Here is an 18,467-nt window from a genome sequence, read left to right on the forward strand (position 1 = left end):
TGCAATCTCAGCTCACTGCAACCTCTGCCACCTGGGTTCAAGTGATTCTCCTGCCTCAGCCTCCGGAGTAGCTGGGATTACAGGCACAAATTTGGTGATTTGGTAATTATTATTCAGTTTTTAGATGTAAGAATAGTGTTGTGCTTCTATTTTGTAAGATTTCTAATCTGTATAAATGAGTAATGATTGTAGTTACTCTGATTTCTGGAATTTTCTTCAAAATAATCCATTAGATGGAGAAGAGGAGGAGGGGACGACAGATGGGCCTGAGTTGACATTGTCCAAGTTATGTCATAGACGCATGAAGGTCCATGATCCTTGATATTCTACTTCGTATAGCTTTAAAATTTCCCACAGTAATAAGTTAAATATGCTTTTAGAAAAAAACTTTATTACTTGTCTAAGGAATCTTTTGATTTTTTTGATTTATATGGGTCTTGACATGAGATTGGGAAAGCCGAGCTCACATTATTTATTGTTTTTGTTTTGTTTTTTGTCTTTTTATTTTATTTTTTAAATTATTTATTTATTTATTTATTTATTTATTTTGAGACGGAGTCTCGCTCTGTCACCCAGGCTGGAGTGCAGTGGTGCCATCTCGGCTCACTGCAGCTTCTGCCTCCCGGGTTCAAGCGATTCTTCTGCTTCAGTCTCCAAAACAGCTGGAACTAAAGGGGTGCACTGCCATGCTCGGCTAATTTTTTTGTATTTTTAGTAGAGATGGGGTTTCGCCATGTTGGCCACGCTGGCCTTGAACTCCTGACCTCAGGTGATCCGCTCGCCTTGGCCTCCCAAAATGCTGGGATTACAGGCGTGAGCCACCATGCCTGGCCACATTACTTATTGTTAAAGGGGCTTTTAGTTTTCTTTTTTATTGTTTTTTGTTTGTTTGTTTGTTGTTTTGATGGTAAGGCCAATTTAATTTGTTGAGGACACATGAACCCATAAAGGGGAACGGCACACACTGGGGCTTATTGGAGGGTGGAGGGTGGGAGGAGGGAAAGGATCAGGAAAAACAATGAATGAGTACTAGGCTTAATACTTAGGTGATGAAATAATCTGTACAACAAACCCCCATGGCACAAGTTTACCTGTGTAACAAACCTGCACGTGTACACCTGAACTTAAATGTTAAAACAATTTTTTTGAGTTTGTTTTTCTCAAAACTTTTGCCAATTCTCTTTCCTGTCCACATGTTTCTCCCTTGTCATCTGCTTCCTTTCCATCCTTCTCCTTACCCTTCTGTAATCTCATGTTCTATCCAACATGTTCGGTTGTTTTCAAGGGGACGGTCGGTCCAAGACCCAGCCTGTGGCACCACTGGACACAGAAGTCTTCCTCAGCTGCTCTGCATTGAACGATCACTGTGGGATAATGTCATCAAAATAGACAAAGGGTTAGTGAGCATGTAGAAGAAACGTTAAAAAGTAGAAAGCTATAAAGTTCCAGGAAGGGAAACATTAACATTCTCCTTAGACCTACTTAGAATCTCATTAAATAAGTCCAAATCACAGATTAAGGACACTGCTTTTGATAACCCATTTCCAAAGAGCTCAGCGATTTAAAATAAATTAGAACACTCATCTCTTCAATCTCCTTTATTGAAGGGCACATTCAAAGTTTCTTCATTGTTTTTTACAGTGCCATACAGAACAGAGCTTTCAGATGGTTTAGGAATTAAGGAGGAGGAAAACATCAGTGTTGGCCAGGGCTGGCCCAATCTGTAGTGTCCCTTGGAAACCTCTCCAGTAAACAAGGTTTGAGTTCAAACCCCATGTTAGCTATTTAGTGATGTGTAAACTTTGATCCATGGTTCAACATCTCTGAATACTGTTTTCTCAAAAGGAAATTAGAAAGAAAAGGAATATCTTATCTATAAATTGTCTTAAGAATTCAATTGAATAAGAAAATGTAAATAAAGTATCTACCATTCTAACTGAAATGTTAAATATTAATTCACTATTAGATATTCATTAACCACTATCATTATATGATTCCTAACTACATCCACATAGAACAGGATATAAAAAATGGGAAGGGATTAAATACTATACTTCTGGGATTCTGAAAAATAAGCTGGATATCGATTTACCCTCATTTCCTTTTTTTCTCTAAAGATGGTCTGGAGAATCTCACTTCCTACTTCTCAGGAAGCTAAATGGGAATTCCAGCATTCTGAGGTGAGGGTTTCCTCAACTAGCCCACCATGGAGAAGGTGATACAGGACTGAGTGGAAGAAAGGCCACTGACTCGGAATACTGGGAGACTTGTCAAGTCATCTAGCACGTCTGACTGTCAATCCATACATAAAACAGGTAGAGTAATGTCTTTTCTGAGTACTTGGAATTGCCAATGTAACAGTCAACTTGGTTATTAAATGAACTCAATTTGAAAAAATATATAAAACACTGTAGAGCCATGCAGCATGCAATTTTAACTTATATTATGGGCTGTTGCCTTCTGATATACTTAGTTCTCTAAAGAAAATAATACAAACGTGTACATCATACATAAGCAAACAAAAGCAAACTACTGACACTATCCTAGCTGATCCCAGAGGTGGGGGAGAAACCCTTCTGCTGGTGGTTGGAGCAGGAAGCAGGATTCACCTATTACCTTGTTCAAGGAAAGTGTTTATTGCCTTCTGAACAATGACAGTAATTAGTGACAAAATTCACCTTCTTCCTTGAGTTACAGCCTTTGCCCCTCTGACTGAAGAAAAAGCCCTGAAAGCAATTCCCAAATAGGGCTTGTACGACACATGAGGCAACTGGTAAGAAACACATGTTCTGACCCAAAGCTGACATGTATTACAATTTAAATAATGACATAATGCCTTTGACTTGAAAGAGTTGTGTCCTTGGAACTTAGAATCTATTTCTTAATGATCAAATGGGTGAATACTTATTACAGTAAGAGCCAAAAAGGGGTAGATTTTTCCTCAATAAAATATTGCTACATGGCTAAAAAATGTCATCCTTTTCTTGTTGATTGACAGAAATTAATGAATGGGATTTCCTCTTGCTTTAGAAAGACAGGAGCAATTAAAACGGCCACGTGCAAAAAAGTTTAGCCGCGTAAATGGCCTCAGTTTGTATTATGTTGATTTCACTGTCTTCTCATAATTGAGCAAGCACGTTAACAATGTTTACCAAATGCTTACTGTCTTCTAATAATTGAGCAAGCACGTTAACAATGTTTACAAAATGCAACTTTTAAAGAGCCCCCCTGAACATCAGCTCCTGAGTCCCTGCCTCTGTGGGCTCAGCCGTCTCATTTTTCCTCACTCTTGATCAGGACTGGGAGGACTTTCAGATTTTACTCCTGTGTCAGGTCTGGTCTTGATTGTCCCACTGTAGTCTCAAACCCCAATAGACTTGGAGACAAATGCCCAAGGTCACAGACAGGTTTCTCCAGCCACAATACCAAGAAATGGGCCTCCGACACACCTGCTTCCCTGCTGTGCCTTCACTTCACAGCAGGGTAGTATCCCACCCTGAGCACCAACCTGCTTAGAAATGGTTTTGGCACTATGCCTCAAATTTTACCTGTGTCAGAAGCCCTACTTGGAATTGTAAGGGAATTATATAGTATTTCCTGCTCTGTGCCCCTTGCCAAGGCAGGTAAAACAAAGGCAGGGTCACTGTGCTCCAGAGATTGATGGAAGAATCAAATAACATTTCCTGAAAAATAGATCAAGTTGACAGAGCCATCTGGACCGGGGAGTCAGGAAGGAAGTCATCTAGAGAAAGGTGTGCTCCCGGGAACCAGCAGCAGCCATCCACAGTGCAGGCTGTTACTGGGACGCTAGGGGGCGACTGTGATGGTGACGACATTCATGTCAAAGATGAGTGGTGGGAATTGGAAGAACACTGGGACCAGGACAAGGGGTCAGTTTGAGTCTTGTAGACACAACTGCAGAAACACTGCAAATGATTAGTCAACAACTAATGGGTTAAAGGTGATACTGAAAGAATGGATGCACCAAAAACTGGAAGGGAGATTAAGAACAGGACCACCTAATTTCAATAGAAGTTTCTGATTTTTCATAAAAATTACTGATTGTGCAGATATGTGCTGAAATAATAAAGGGTACATTTAAGAAATGTGATTGAGAACAGACTTTCATGAAGTGGCCAGATTTGATGAGGTATAAACAGGGAAGGTTAACCAGCAACACCCCCAATTCACTATGGCTACAGTTTGATGGTAATGGAGGGTCCACTGATTACAGTGAGGAGAGGTAGGATTTGAGGAAATGACAACACCTTCATTTCTGAGTATAATGCTCTTTCTCTGCAGGACATGGCAGGCCAAGTACAGTGTGCTATAGGACCTCAGATCCTGTAAGCAGTAGAATGTAGAGGGTCCATCTGTAACTCCAGGCAGAGGCTTGACTTCTGCAAAGTCTCCTTGCTATAGTTGAGTTTGTCCCCTGTCAAATTCCATGTTGAAATGTGATTCCCAATGTGAATGTGGTGGTGCTGGAGGTGGGGACTAGTGGGAGGTGTTTGGGTCGTGGGTTTGGATCGCTCATGAATGGCTTGGTGTCCTTCCTGCAATAGTGAGTTCTTGCTCTTTTGAGACTGGATTCCCGTGACAGTGGGTTGTTACAAAGTGAGCCTCCTTCACTTGTTCAGTCCTCTGTTTGAACGTGTCAGCTTCCCCTTGGCCTTCTCCAGGTTATGACACAGTGTGAAAGCCCTTGTCAGAAGCCAGGGCCATGCTCTTGAACTTCCCAGGCTACAAAACTGTGAGCTAAATGAACTTCTCTTATTTATAAATGGCTCACTATCAGGTGTTCCATTATAGCAACACTAAGTGGACTATGACACCCCCTAGCCTCCTGGTGGAGGGAAAGGCAGTCGGTGCCCCCACCATCCCTGGGACCCTCCTACCTGACACAGGCACCAGCTGCATGGATCACCAAACTTCCCTCACACTGCCTTGGGAAACTGAGGAAGCAAAGGAAAGTTCACCCATTCAATCAGTCTCTTATAATCTTATCGCGCATAGAAATCACTCTGCATATATTTATTGTGGTAATAAAAAAAAAAACCTAGTCCCCAAATGTTGAATGCAAATATGAATTTTGGTCTACTCTTGCTCACTGGAACTTAAAAGGTTGAAATATCCAAATTGAAATATCCAAAGAAAATAGATTATAAAAATAGACTGAGAAATCAGATCTAGCAGTTCACAATTTATCGACATAGACATGAGCACTGAAACTATGACAGCAGGGGGTAGACAAAGGAAATGATTTGACCAAAGGTGCATTTTAACTTAACAGCAAAGGATGTGGCACAATGCACTCAAGTTGAGGCCAAAACTCAAATTTTAGCATTATCCTCAAACTTTCTTTTACAATTTTCCTAGATTATTTGTGTTGCTTAGACATTTCTCTTTAATACTACATTATCTCTGAGTACAGTCTTTATTTGGGTAATAGATGATAGGACCAATTTTGAGTGAAGACTCAAAAAATATAAAATTCACATTAATGCAGTAAACCAAATTACCTCCAAGTAGATAGATAAGGAATACGATGATGATTTAAATATGGTTTACTGAAATGAAAAATCTTGTCATTTTATAAGCCTGTCAGCATACTGTCTAATGATAGGATAAAGCAAATATTATTTTCCATGGCATAGTTGAATAATTTGGAAAAAAGAGATGTGAGTTAAATATGACCAGAACATTTAACTCTGCTAGCTTGATTTGAGAGATGGAAATACCAGACTGTCAAATAGAAACCCCATCCTTCTGCTTTATCACTAACACAATCATCAGAACCTTAGAAAAATGTGCTTGGAATTATTGTTTGGGAGCATTCAGTTATAACACTTTCAAATCAAACAACTTTTATCAATATTGCTTAGCAGTAGTTATCATCGCTAATTTTACCAACAAAGTAACTGAGGCATAAAACGGCTTTCTGGAGGTCATAGAAGAAGTTGATGTCATAACTCACGAGACCATGTAAAAGCTACATGGGGAGAGAAGAACTTTAAAATAAATAGTTTAAAAGGCAGTTTTGCTTCTGTTAGAATCTGATCAGTCTTTTTCTGTAAAAAGCATTTCTAAACAATCAGATACTCATTTTTTAAAAACATGTTTATCAGTTTTGTTTTGAACCTCTTAGAAAAATATGAGAACATAACTAAATATAAGTTGAAATGTCCTCAGGTCAGTATTTCAATGGAACTGCTCTACACCAAGCTCTAAACTGGAGGTGGGGCTTTAAAAGAGTAAATAAGGTACAGATATGATTTCCGTGTTTGCATTTCTGTAAGTCTAGCAAGAGAAGTTAGACGAGTAAATAGATTGTCCCAAAACAGTATGGTAATTGAAGTTATGGCCCTGGTACCCACAATAGTTCATCAAGGATATGCAAGGAAGAGACTTTAATGGCAATAGGAACCCTCCCTAGAGGAAGTCAACTCCGAGCTACATTTTGGGACATGAATAAAAATCAGCCAGGCAAGGAAGGCATAGTTAATAGCATGAACAAAAAACAAAACAGAAAAGCAAGGAGCAGGCGTGTGGGCATGGGTATGGAAGGCCAGGCTATGCTATTAGAACATAAACTCTGAGGCTGGACAGCTTGGCCGAGGCCAGAAGCAGAATGAACTCTTGTGATTACCCTCTGAATACATCTATGCTGCTATTGATTCTGCACCTCGTTCATTATTGAGAGACAGTAAAAGGGAACTTGCTTTACAGATTTTTAATTCAAGATTTCCTTTCCTTTGGAGTTTTAAGTTTGGAAGCATATGCACCTCTGTACCAGGGGAAGAAAGAGAGAGTGCTGGTCAACCTGCCTATGAGTATTGCGTGTGTCTATAGAACAGCTTGCTGAGGAGGGGCTTTAAAGAGACTGATGCTCATGGGGATAAGAGGAACAGACATTACTTAGGCCCCTTCCTCTCTGCAGGCCTGGAAGCATTTAACACGTGGTCAGCCTCAGCAAGAACCAAGCATATTCTTACTGGGATTGCAGGGACGCAGTTGATAACATAAGCTCAGCCCTTGATCTGATTGAGAAATTGAAAAAAAATAAGAGCAAGGCTGATGAGAGACCAAAATATGACCCTTAATAAGGCTGCTAGTGGAGGATGTGACTTATCTTGGGTGAGTGGACTCCCTGGTATGGAAGTGCCTTCACACCCAATCGGAGCCAGGCTGGTCTGGGGTAGGCCTCCCCATGAGGCGGTGCTCCTGTAAAACTGGAAACTCTTATGTCCTGGACCCGCTTAGATAAATAGGTGCTTTTTGCAGGCCGGTAGTTCCACATAAAAAAACCAGGAAGAGAGCTGGCTGCATGAGGTCACTTTTTTCCTCTGCATTTATCCACAACAGCAATTTCTGCACCTCAGCAGGCCTTGGCCAGAAGGGATGGTCTCATGGACACTGGCCAGTGTGGTCACCCAGGCCCTGTGCTCAGGAAGTCCCCACACTTAGGGCATCAGGGTCTGCAGGTATTGTGTTGAATTTTGTGATAATTTCATGTTGGAACTTTTGTTTTGTAAGGGCAGTTCCATGGACACTGGAGCATGTCCTGGGCTCAGAGCCTCAGCTCACATGTGGTAACCACTCCTGCTACCTTCCTGCCTCCTGGAATGGGCTCTCAGGTGCCCATACACAAGCACCCTGATCCCCAAGGCCCACTCTCAAAGTGTCCCATCCCCCAGTGACTGATGCAATCTCCTGGCCATGGCATCTCTGGTGGGGCATGGCAATGTGAGTCCCTTCCCTGGATGGGGTTTGCTAGGGTGTGTTTTGGGATCAAGCATATAGGAATGATCCTCTAATCATCCTGAGCCCCAGCCCTCTTACGAATCTTTGAAGGGTGCTTGTCATTGTGGCTTGGGGTGATGCCCATAGGAATGGGGGGGCATGTGGCTCTACTCCCCTGGGCCCTTTGGCGATGTTGCCCATGAGCCCTTGCCCTCCACTGTGCCCTCACAAACCCCAGCCAAGAACACCTTAGGAAGACAAATTTAAGGCTCTCCTCCCATTTCCTCGCTTGCCACCCTGAAATCATTAAACTCGTTCTTTGCTGCAGTCCTTGCTGTCTCAGTGTTGGACTGTTACTGCATGCACACCTACTGGTTCTATGACAGAGCCAGAGATGATCATGAGATTCTGACTTCTCTGGAAATATGAAGAAATTCAGGAAATAGCAGTGAACTGTCTACCCGACCTGAACTTAAGGGTTAAGCCAATTTTTCTAGGCTATTGTTGATGTTTGGATTGCAGATAAAGTGAAATATATCCAGCAGATGCATATTGCTATTCAAGTGGGGAATCAAGAAGAGCTGATCAATCTTTAAGTTGTGACATGAACGGGCCCACTAGTGGGGAGCCACACGGGCTTTGGACTAGCCTCTGCTCTTCCTGTGTGAGCCATTTGGGAGGTATCTGCTGAGGTCCCCAGTGAGACTTGCATCTGCTGGGCCCAGCACCCTTGTTTTCCTCAGTCCCCACCCCAGCCTGTGCTGAGTGTTGGTGTCCTGTGCTCAGCGTTCTGCTCTTGCAGCCTGGCACATCTCAGTTAGGTGCCTCATCCTGTGGAAAAGGCTCCATCAGCTTAAGTGACCTCCCAAATTGGAAATTTCATTTGGCCAATACTGATGGGTGGCAGCCCAGGTCACAAGACTTAGAGCCTAATGCAGCAAGGCCCAGTCCAATCAGTTAACTGCCAAGGAGACCCATAGCTCTTGTCCCCAAAGCTTGCAGCCACATGTCCTGGCCAAGCCAAAACACCTCCCTCTCTTTCTTTTGTGTCTAGAATCTGATGTCTTCTTTATTTCTAAAAGCTCTTTGCCAGTGCACTCAGATTTTGTAGCATGGAATTGAAATTGCATAAATCAGGGAGACCTGAAACAGCACCAGCTCTTCTGAAGCACAGTGTAACACAGAGAGCAGAGCACAGCCCCTGGTGAGCATCCAGCTCCTGGGAGAAAGGAAAGGACTCTCACTTCTCTCCTCTTCTTTCCTGAAGGTGGAAGGGGCAGGGCGGGGAGATGAGGGTTGCAGTTGTGAAATGTTTTGCATCAACTCCCCAGCCATGGTGCCCAGGTACATGGTTAAATGACATTCTGCATTTGCCTGTGAAGGCGTTTTCACATGAGACTCACATTAAAGTTGGTGGACTTTGAGTAAAGCACATTGCCCTACCTAATGCTGTGGGCTTCATCCAACAGAAAGAAAGGCTGATCGTCCCCTGAGTGAACAAGAAGGAATTCTGCAAGCACACAGTCTTCAGACTCAAACTGCAACCTCAGTGCTTTCCTGGGTCTCCAGTCTACTGGCCCACCTTGTAGATTCTGAACTTCTCAGCCTCTATAGCCTCTATAGTCATATGAGCTAATTCCTTAAAATGTATAAACCTCTTTACACACACACACACGCACACATATATTACATATATACATACATATGTAATATATATGTAATATATATGTATATATATATGTATTACATATATAAGTATTTAAAAATGTGTAGGAGGTGGATATATGTAATATATAGTATATATATACACACATATATACACAATAAACACACATATATAGCATATCCTATAAGTTCTGCTTCTCTGACTAATATGAGAGGGCAGGGCTGTTAAGCTAATGCATCTCCCTGCACATTGAGAGAGAAGTTCCGTCTCCTTGCACTCCTGCTCCTCTAGGAGAAAGTGTCCACATCCAGGATTGTCAACTTCTTCAAAACCAAGCAAATCAGAAGAAAAAGCAACAAAAGACAAGCCAGAATAAACCCAAAAACTGATGAAAAAGCTCACTGTCTTACTTATCATCAAACAGTATTAATACATGGGAAAGAAACACATAGATTTCCCACAGTTTTTCTAATAAAAAGAATAAGATGATCATTCTGTAGTTTTTAACATGCCTAAACATGAGGTCTGTAATACTTTGGATGAAGGGAACTACTAATACCTTTCCACAGACCTCAAGTAGGGTGACTATAGCTCATTTGGTATCATCACTTAAAAATACATATGATTACTGAGCCAATAATATATTATAAAATATTATATTAAAATAAAATATTCTAAAAATATAAGATTAGTGGTCTGCGAAGGGCTCACCCTGCTTTCTTCAGTCCATTCCAGACCACCCTCATCTCCATCCAATCTCCATTTCCTCTGGCCTCACCCGTGCATCAAGCATCTAGCTGGCACCAATGAGCGCAGCCTCGACCCCCTAATTCAGCCATCCCATAATTAGCTTTGTGGTCTTTCCAAACCATGATTCTTGCCACACAGCTTCATGCAGCCCTGACCCCATGCTAGGAGTCTCCAGTGCCTTCAGGATGGAAACCCTAAATCTTTAGCAGATGTCCAAGTCCTGCCTTCTAGTCACTATCAGTTCCCAGTGGGACCCTCCACTCTCCTTTCTCACCATTTGCCACCTTGAATTTTATGCCCCAGCCACTTGGAACTGTGAACTGCTGCCTTAAATAAGTGTGTTTTTGATGAGTTCACACCTTCTCCGATGCTGAATTTCCTCCTTGATATTCCCATCCACCTCCTACACATTTTTAAAGCTACCTCCACATATCACTGCCTTCAGGAAATTATCTTCCCAGTCTGGATTAGTTGCACATTTTTGAATCTCTGTATCCCCAACACCTAGCACAGCACAGTGAATATAAAACTATAAAAGACACACAAAGATGTTTACTAAATTATTTGATGAATAGAATTAGAATAATTTTATTCTGCATGGTTCAATACAAAGAAAAAATTAATTATTTGATTTAGAATTACCTATTAACCAACAAGACATTTTTAGCTTCTTTAAATATAATTTGATATCGTTCCACTTATCTGAGTATTTCTCTGCGTAATGGAAATAATTATTATTGAATAGGAAAAAAAACTGCCTTGGCGCTTACATTTGTCCTGGAAAAAATAGCATTTCAAGAACCATTATTCATATTGTACCATAAAATTACTATAAATGCAAGTCTTGTTCAGTAAAAAAAGCAACTCTATTTAAAGAAAAATAAAAATAGCTGTTGTTTTGGAACTGTCTCACCTGCCCAGGAAAATAGAACTTCTCTCTCTAAGCACCATCCTTCATAACTGTTGTCAGATCAGTCTTTAAAGGTTAGATTTTTAGAAAGCAGACATCTTTTTTGTTTGTTTTTCTTTTTAAAATAATATTTATTTTATTATTTACATAGCTTTAGGGGTACAAGGGCCATTTGGTTACACAGATGAATTGTATAGTGGTAAAGTCTGAAATTTTAGTGCATATACCACTGTCACCCTAGTGGTATATACTGTACCCAATATGTAGTTTTTCTCCCTAACCCCCGCCCTCCACGCTTCTGGGTCTCCAATGTTCATTAACCACCCCGTATGCCCTTGCATGCCCATGGCTTAGCTCCCATGCAGTGTTTGGTTTTCCTTTCCCAAGTTACTTCATTTAGAAAAATAGCCTCCAGTTCCCTCCAAGTTACTGCAGAAGACATCATTTCATTCTTTTTTTATAACTGAATAGTATCCATAGTGTGTATGTACCATATTTTCGTTACCGCTCATCAGTGGATCGCCGATTAGGTTGGTTCCCTATCTTTGCAATTGTGAATTGTGCAAAAGCAGGCATCTTAAAGGCAATACATGCAGTGAGCGTCTACCCCAGGTCACAACTGCTAAACAAAAAACTCTAGTGTGTGAGTTAAGAGACTCAGTTTTCATGCCTGATCAGCTTTGTGACACTGGAGAAGTCTCCTGCTTCCTACGTTAGGCGAGGAAACTGAGATGGGGTCGAATATAAGGTCTTCTCTGGAAAGATGTGTAAGATTTCCTGACTTTGGAAAACCTGCTTTGTTTTCTCCAGAATGAGATGTGGTAACCCATAGCAATGAACAACAAAATAACAAGTGGGAAGGGGCCTAATGTTAGAGAGACTTCTGCGTTTGTTGATTCAAAGCTTGGGAAATCTGTACTACTACTGCACTCCAGTAACAGAAATCAGCTGATTCATATGCACCTATTTATCCTGAAATCTAAAAGACACGAAACCATTAGAAACACTTTATTCACCATATAGCTCACAAGAAAGCTCAACAGATCGTCTTACTTTTTCTGTTCTCTTATTGAGACTCATGTTTACCATTAGCAGATTATCCAATTATGTTGTTTTAGGCAATATTTATTGCCAGCTATACATAAGTACTGTGAGGCAATCTGATAACAAAGCTAATAATAAGAAGGAGAATTTACCTTCCAGGGCCCCATAGTCTAGGGCTGGGGGTAGACAATACCTGACCTGAACTTGAGAGGGATGCATCCCTATATTTTATAATCTATTGTCTGGCCACTTATTACTTTAAGACTGTTGCAAAGAAACTAGAGGCATTTGACAATTTCTGTAAAATATTGCTATCAGATAGTGTTAGGTGAATACTCACAGGCCATCATGAGCAAGAGTCCACACAGTCAACTCCCTGCAACCCACAGGTGGCAGCTGCCATCACCTGTTCACCCTAAATTTAAGGGTAGTGCATTCCACACCTGTAACTTTTGCTTCCTTGACATTTAGAGTTTTCTAAATATAAGAGTAAACCAAATATTTTTTGTTTACAAGATTAATAGTTTTTAAACATGTTTTGTGAAAATTGAGGAGAGATTTGGGAAGACAGATGTGTATATTCTCAGTATGTTTTAGCCTCCTGAGCCCCCAAGCATGAATATATGAGGCTTCAAAGAGAAGAAAAATGAGAACGTGTCTTTTATCTTTGCTAATATTCAATTAAGTAGATCAAGTGAATCTTGAATCTTTAAGTATATACGATGCTAATATTTTAATTTCTTTCAACACATTTATTCTTGATCTTGGATTCCTGTGAGGACTTAAAGAAAACCAGTGACACTCACTCACTCAGACTTGGAACCACCTAAGAGATAAATGCAGAGGTTTGGTAGAGGGAGATAAAAATATCAGCCTTATTACTGCTATGGGGGAAGATATGGCTGAGGACTGCAGTACTAGGGACTTCTGAACAATGAGCCCTAGAACTAGGAGACCCATCCTCCCAGCCATAGGTGTCTGTGCTACCACCGGGCTCCCTTCCTGGAGCCTGGGGTCTTATTGTAAATGCACAAAAGCCAAGAGTCAAGAAGAAACAGCTTGCAGAGAGGTGAATCCCAGAGAAAGGAGTGAAGGGATTAACCATGCCTGCCAGCTTCTTCTCTCTGAACTTCCCACTCAGATAATCCTCTCCCTCTTCCACCAGGGAAGTAACAGAGTGTGGAGGGAGGCCGGGATGCTGGAAACACAAACGCAGGGGAGAGAAGGCTGTTTCTCCTGCAGCAGTTACTGGCAGCCAAGTCCTGGGCTCTCATTCCAGAGAAGATTTCTCACATTTTCTTCCTGGAATTGCGGTATGCTCCGAAGACATATAGTTACTGCAAATAGGTTCAACATGATGCATTTCTATGCAATTTAACAAAGGCCAATGGTATTGTAGTTCAAGTAAATATAATATTGAGCAGAAAGCTAATTCGGAAAACGTTGCCCAGAAAAAAGGTACCCACACATTTTATTAAGTAAATAACAATCATCCTTAGCTATTACCTGAGATGTGGCATGGGATAATGAGATTTTTTTTCAGGTTCTAGGACTTGATTATGTAGGTGGATAAATGTCAATATTTTCAGGTGAATGGTAGTGGAGGGAACCATGACTAATTCCATATGATAGATTTTAGAGTTTCACCTGGGAAGACAAAATAAATAGACTTTTCATAGCTATCGTTGGAACAAAAATACTTAGATGCAAATTTATATACCAAAATAAACTCCAAGTGGATGAAGGGGTAAAACATTAAAAAGCTAAAGATAGTCTCGATTGGAAGTAATAATGCCTCCAACTTTGAGGTTGACAGAAACGCAGACCAGAACATTTAAAAATGAAACGAATTTAAAAGTTCAAAATGAAAATGTAAAGCTAAAACACATTTACAAATTTAATGTATACATCTAAAACTAAAATGAATAACAAAGTTACAACAAAAACACAAACTAGGAAATATATGTGTACATGTTACAACAGGTAAATTTTAATGTTTATCTTAGTTTCAAAACAAAAAATACAATCAAATCTCCACATGCCATATTTTCAAAAGATATAAAAACAATTCTCACAAGTGAAAATATGACTAGGTAACAAACATTCACAACTTTTTTGACTCTGTGAAAAATACAAATTGAACTACCATACTGCATGATTTTATACTCACAAATAAGTAAAGGTTATTTTAATGAATCAATGCTATTCCTGGAAATTGTCATGGCTTATAGAGTTTTGCTTCTAAAAATAATGCATGAAACCATTGTTCTGTCCAAAAAGCTTGTCATACCTGTTTGTTTTGATGATTTCATGTTAAGAAACATAGACTAGATATGAAGTGCATGATGACAGTTCGGAGCAGGAGTTCTGGAGCCAGACCACCTGGATTCAAATTTTAGTTCTATTATTCACAAACTATAAATAGCTAAGAAGTAAAATGTTTGCTGAACAATAATACTTACAGTTGCATACTTACATGACTGAACAATAAAAAAATGACATAGTACTCAACTATGATACAGCCAGTCAAAATAACCATTAAAAAGGCATTGTCAAAAAAACTATTATATAATAGCAAATAAAAATAACACATAAAGAAAGACAACATGTATGCACATGATGAGCAGCATGATAGAAAATACGTGCACATTTATAAGGTATTATTTTAACTGGTATGAATTTTTAGCAATTTGTAATTAGGATCTCTAGAAGAGTTTGTTACCAAAATATAAGTTATAAAGAATTATATGTTGCAGACAAATCAGCCATTTATTTAACCACTATTGGATACTTGCTAGTTCACACACTGCTTGCTACTAAGAATGCAAAATTGACTGTTGCCTTTAAAAGAAGATAGATGAGCAAACAAAATGCAATACCATCACATTTTTAAGTAGGCGCTTTTTGTGGGGACAAAGTGGATCAGGAAACTGAGAGATGAATTCAAGGGTGAGGATTCATGAGTGACAGAACCTAAGTGGACATGACATCATTGAGATGAATGTGAATGCAAATGGAATGCCCGGTCCTTTTCAGGACAAATAAAGACATTAAAGAAAAATGGAAAGGAATTCCAGAAAATTGTGAAAGAGAGAGATAGAGAATAAAAGTTTTTATTTTTAAAGTGTCTAATTATACCTGGATGATTTATTCTTTCTAAAATCAACAGAAATTTTGTATCATACTTAATACAGTAACTAGTGCTGTTAGTAAAATGTTGTGATGCACCCCATACTGGGAATGAAATGGTGAAGCAATAAAATTCTGGAGCTTCTTCGAGCAGATGTATTGTTGTTAAGCAGGAAGTTTAGTGGGACTATATTTCTGTTCACTAGGATATTTGTCTTCATCTTGGATTTATAGTGGAGAAACAGAAAAGATGACAGACCTAGAACATCCAATAGGCAAAATGCTACAGGGCTACTATGCAAAGGGAGAGACAATATCCTGTGTTAATTAATTACACCACTTCCTACTGCATTTAACAGGAAACACTAGAAAAGTAATACTTTCCAAATACAGTTAATGAAGAACCAGCATTTAAAATCTGAACTTTGCACACTTTGCAAATGTAGTCACAGAATTTACCATTTTTTGTATATTATGACAAAGTTCTTTTTACAGAGAAATACACACCAACGTGAGACAAAAAGAACTGGAGTCTGGTGAGATAGAGAAGAACTAGAGAGTACACACAGAACATAAATAGGACATGTGTGGTACAAGAAGAGGAGAAGTCAAGATTCAGCTGGACAGAGGCTCCCTGAGTCAGCATTTCCAATGGTTTGTTTCATGTTTATCCAGTCTCTATGGTGTTTTATACAGGTTTTGTTGAAAAGAGCCATGTGGGCAAGTTAAGTTGAAAAATTTGGATTAAGCAAATGTGATCAGGTTCCTTTATTCTTCTTAGTGCTCTGTGCTAATACATATGGAACCCAATGGGAGGGGAAGACAGAGGTGGGAGGATGTCCCAACTTATTTCAACACAAACCCCATTTTTTATAGAGCAGCCAGTGAGATTAGTACTTCATAAAACACACTTGAGAACATCTTATCAAGAAAAACTAAAAGTTTATATGAATTCTTACAGAGGTGGAATTGAATGTTATCACTAGAATTTTGCGATTTTTAATTTGTTATATGGTTCAGTAAACAAAAAAATGATAATAAAATTTCAGAGTATCTATTTGAACAAGGTTGTCCCTACTGAAACACTCCAGTCAATGCCCCCACTGGCAGAATAGGCAAAGCAGTAAATCTGCAGCACACATTTTGTTACTGAAACACCAGGGTTCAGTCGAGGTCCTGCTGCTGGCGACACAGAAAGCCAATCACTGAGACAACATGTACTCCAGGGAAGAAGGCTTTAATCAGTCTCTCCAGCCAAGGAGATGGGAGCTCAGTCTCAAATCCATCTCCCTGACTGACTAAAATTAGGGGGTTATATGGCAGGGAAGAAATGTAACCATGTGTGGGAAAACAGTAACTAAGGAGGGGTAAGGAAGCAGTCCTAATGAATGAGGAGCCTAGTGTCTCATTGTCTGGATGCCGTGATCTTGTGAGTTTCAGTTCTTTGATACTTTTTGAGAGGCCTGGGGGTCCTCTTCTGAGGAAAGAACTCAGATAAAACAAATGTAAGTTTTAAGCTTTAAGGCCAGAAGGGGCAATTCCTATCTTTATCCAAAAAAGCTATCTATGGGACTATTGGGTCAGTTTCAATTTGAGAACAGCACCTCAAGAAAGGGCCACATCTTACACTGTGTTCACTTGTGCACAGTCTCATTGAGAGTTGTAGTTTTGCATATAGGACATTTCAATAAAATGGAAACACACAATTATGGGTACCCTACACGTGGAGCATGAGGTCACAGCCCAGCAACTCCATCTGGGGCCATTTCACCCAAGCTGCAAATATAGTGTCTAGAAAAGCTATTAGTGTCGAGAATGTTGACCTTACAAACCAGTTATTTAAAGTGATCATAGTTTGCAGAAAAGATTACCTTCTGAAAGAGGTAAGAGACCCCAATCAATATAATCTGAGTATCTTAAGTAAAATTAGGAAAATATCTCAGAAATTATTGTTGGGAAACTTGATGTGGTTGTTATGCAAGCAATCCAGGAAAAAAACAACCAAACACACACAGACTAACAAATAAACCCTCCCTATTCATTGTCAGGCCCAGTGTAAGCCATCAGCTAGGATATGTTGTTTTGCTGATGGTGAGGTCACAGGGCAAAAAGAACATGAGATCATTCAGTAAACAAGACCAACTGGAAAACTAGTTTTGCATCCCCATGCCCAACCACCCATCAGTCACATGCTTACATTTAGGTATGTTAGCTAACTACATCTCTCTACAAAAACCATGCATATTTCACAATCCCCAAATGGGTCACAAAGTCATTCATGGGTCTTATTTTTATCCAGTCTCCCAGGAGCAAACATCTGGTGCTTATTACTGGGTACAGGCACATTGAATTTGTAGCATAGAAATGTGTCTTAAACACAATTCTAAAATGTTTTCATCATTTATATTTTAGATAGATTATGAAGATTTCTATTTTATAATCTTTCCACAAATTGTGTGTGTGCTTGTGTGTGTGCAACAGGTTTTTAAAGAAAATCACCCCCATGGCCTCCTATTTAGTAAAGCAGGGTATAGGTGTGTGTCAACAGTTGAACTATTCTGTGGTTACCCATCACGGGTTATGTCAACATAGTGCGTAAAAATATTATGGAAGAAGAACACGATACAAGTGTGAGACTAATATGTCCTACTCTGCTAGATTATAAAGTTATAAGGAGTATTTATTAAGTTTTACTTATTTTTGTGTACTTTTTGTTTCTCCTGAAACATGCATTGAATGAATGAATGAATCAATCAATCAATCAATGAGTAACAAAGGGAAAAGTTCATTTCCCAGAGGGCATGGTGAGTCTAGTGATTGGAAACATTCTTCTCTTTATGGAGGGCAAATATCTTATTTTGCCACCATTTTGTCTACAAGGCACCTACACTTCCTGTTTGCAAACCAAAATGGGTTGGCAATGAAATTGTCAGAATGCCGTCCAGAGCTGCTGCTCTTGACTTACAGCTAGTGAAGCCCCTCTAAACTCAGTCAAAGTCGGCTTCCTGTCCCAGGAAATTCAAGGAGGAACTGGTACTGGAGTTAGTGGTCCTCAATTGGGTTTACCTCCATTAATCTGGGCCCAAAGAGTTAACAAATTATTATCATAAAAGAAGTAGTGAAATAGTCCTACTGAGTAGAAGGTGCATGTCAATTCATGAAGAGTGATTGATGCTGTGAAAGTTAAATAATTTTTTACTGAAATAAGTATCTCTCTATTTTTAG

General features: G+C 39.7%; 2 long non-coding RNA genes across 2 annotated transcripts in view; one reads left to right on the forward strand and one right to left on the reverse strand.

Annotated features, from left to right (window-relative positions):
- Window positions 1-1,248: 1,248 nt before the first annotated feature.
- Window positions 1,249-18,467, reverse strand: part of LOC105376375 (uncharacterized) — a 60,465-nt gene continuing 43,246 nt past the window's right edge. The window contains exon 3 of the long non-coding RNA XR_930599.2: window positions 1,249-1,364. This is a non-coding gene — a long non-coding RNA (uncharacterized LOC105376375). The remainder of the gene's footprint in view (window positions 1,365-18,467) is intronic.
- Window positions 1,288-16,506, forward strand: LOC107984197 (uncharacterized). Its single transcript, XR_001747339.1, has 3 exons — window positions 1,288-1,396; window positions 2,118-2,315; window positions 15,738-16,506. It is a non-coding gene; the product is annotated as an uncharacterized LOC107984197 (long non-coding RNA).

This window comes from Homo sapiens, chromosome 10 (genome assembly GCF_000001405.40).
Source record: "Homo sapiens chromosome 10, GRCh38.p14 Primary Assembly".
In the NCBI taxonomy this organism is placed as follows: Eukaryota; Metazoa; Chordata; class Mammalia; order Primates; family Hominidae; genus Homo; species Homo sapiens.